The following is a 2,032-nucleotide window of genomic DNA, read 5'->3' as shown; positions in this document are numbered from 1 at the left end:
CATATCGAAAATGCCCAACATATGTGAGCTATTATTATTACAACAAAGCAAAATAGATGGAGAGGCAGGTTTGGACAAGAAGATGATAAGCTTAGGTTTGGGTATACTGGATTTGAAATCTGAGGCTCCTGTTGGGCATCAGATTGGGCGGGTGCTGGGAGTGGGTGTCTGGGGCCCTCAGACAGCTTGTGAGCTGGAGCTCTGGCTGCTGCTTGTTCCCTGGCCCCATGGCAGCTGACAGACCTCATCAGGGAAAATTTGTTGCAATGACAAAAATTTCCTTGATCTTTTGCTCAATCTTGGAGATGCACGAGGTTGAGTTCTTAGATTGGAACTCAAAGGAATAGGAATCAGAGGTGTTCAAAATTGAGTTTTGGGCTTTGGAACATTCAGGGTGCTTTGTTTTTCTTTTTGGTGTTTTTTTTTTTTTTTTTTTACACTGAAGTGAGATAGTTGGTCCTGGATGAGGTCCCTGTTGAAAATCTGATAAAAATATGCACAATATACAATATGTGCAAATACATAATATTTGCCTATAATTTCAGAATTGAACATGAACATCTGAAGTCAATTTGTGGATTCCCACTTCAGATCTCCTCCATGTCCAATACTTGTTGGTAGCCCCTAATGCTCAAAACATTCATTGACGTGCCCAGAGATCTATGGGCAGCTGGTGGTGTATTTTTTTAAAGCTGGAATATTAGACTGAGGATACAGCATTGAGCTTCAGGTGCTGGGAAGAGAATGAGTATAAATGCTCTGGGAAAAACAAAAGATGGTACGGCTAGGAGGAAACTGGGGATGAGTTTAAATTCGAAAGGAATGTTAGACACCAAAGGTATTTATGAGGTGTTTTGCAGGTCATAAAAATGGAATAAATGGTTTTTTGAAGGTTATTGGCATCAAGGGGGTGTAGCTCAGTGGTAGAGCATTTGACTGCAGATCAAGAGGTCCCTGGTTCAAATCCAGGTGCCCCCTATGACATACTTTTGCTCCTCTTGGCAGCTTCATTAAAAATCCTGGACTAGGGTAAGGCAAGCAAGGTGCGTAAGGCTCAAAATTTAAGCAGATACTTACTCTCAGGTTCATGCAAGTGCCTTGGCTCACTAGTTCCCTTATAGCAGAGCTACCATCTCACATAAACTCACCCTGCCTCTAATATGCACACACAAACCCAGTCATAAACCATGACACATACACACACACGTGTGCTTTCTTACATGTGTCTTTATCTCTTCTTTCCTGTATATTCAATCTTATTAACCAGGCACTTTTTCCTCTCCCTTTCTTCAAGTTTTAAAATTTATTTTAGATTTCATGGAAGAGTTTATAAATTCTGTAAATTTTAGATTTACAGAAGAATTGTTAAGATAGCAATAGAGAGGTTTTGTATACCCTTTACCTACCTTGTAACATGTTAACATGTTACATAATCATGGTATATTTATCAAAACTATGAAATGAAATGTTTGAGGTGATGGATATGCTAATTACCCCCAATATGATCATTATACACTGGATACATTTATCAAGATATCACACTGTATCACAATTATTATATGTCCATTAAAGGTAATAATAAAATAAAACAGACATGCTGGTCCAACACCATTTAGTTTTATTTTTACTTTGTGTCAGTATAGACTAGATGTATATATTTATGGGTTACATGAGATATTTTGATACAGGCATGCAATGGTGCAACACTGTTAACCAAATGACAGACTATTCAGATTTCTCCAGTTTATTTTTTCTGCTATTTTTTTTCTCTGCTCCAGGATTCAATCCAGGATACCATGTTGCATTTAGTTGCTATCTTTGTAATGTCTCAGTCTTCTTCAGACTGTGACAGTTTCTCAGTCTTTTCTTGTTTTTGTCATTTTTCTTTTAACCTTGACATTTATAAAAAATCCTGGTTAAATATTTTGCAGAATGTCCTCACTTTGGATTTGTCATGATTAGACTGGGGTTGTGAATTTTTAGAAAAGCTGTCACAAGGATAATGTGCCATTTTTTTTCATATCACATCAGG

At 37.5% G+C, this 2,032-nt stretch overlaps 1 non-coding gene across 1 annotated transcript; it reads left to right on the top strand.

Moving 5' to 3' along the window:
- The first annotated feature begins 906 nt into the window (after positions 1-906).
- On the top strand, positions 907-978 carry TRC-GCA6-1 (tRNA-Cys (anticodon GCA) 6-1). The gene has a single exon. It is a non-coding gene; the product is annotated as a tRNA-Cys (tRNA).
- Positions 979-2,032: the final 1,054 nt, after the last annotated feature.

Source organism: Homo sapiens, chromosome 3 (assembly GCF_000001405.40).
Source record: "Homo sapiens chromosome 3, GRCh38.p14 Primary Assembly".
In the NCBI taxonomy this organism is placed as follows: domain Eukaryota; kingdom Metazoa; phylum Chordata; class Mammalia; order Primates; family Hominidae; genus Homo; species Homo sapiens.
This window is presented reverse-complemented; position numbering and strand designations above follow the sequence as displayed.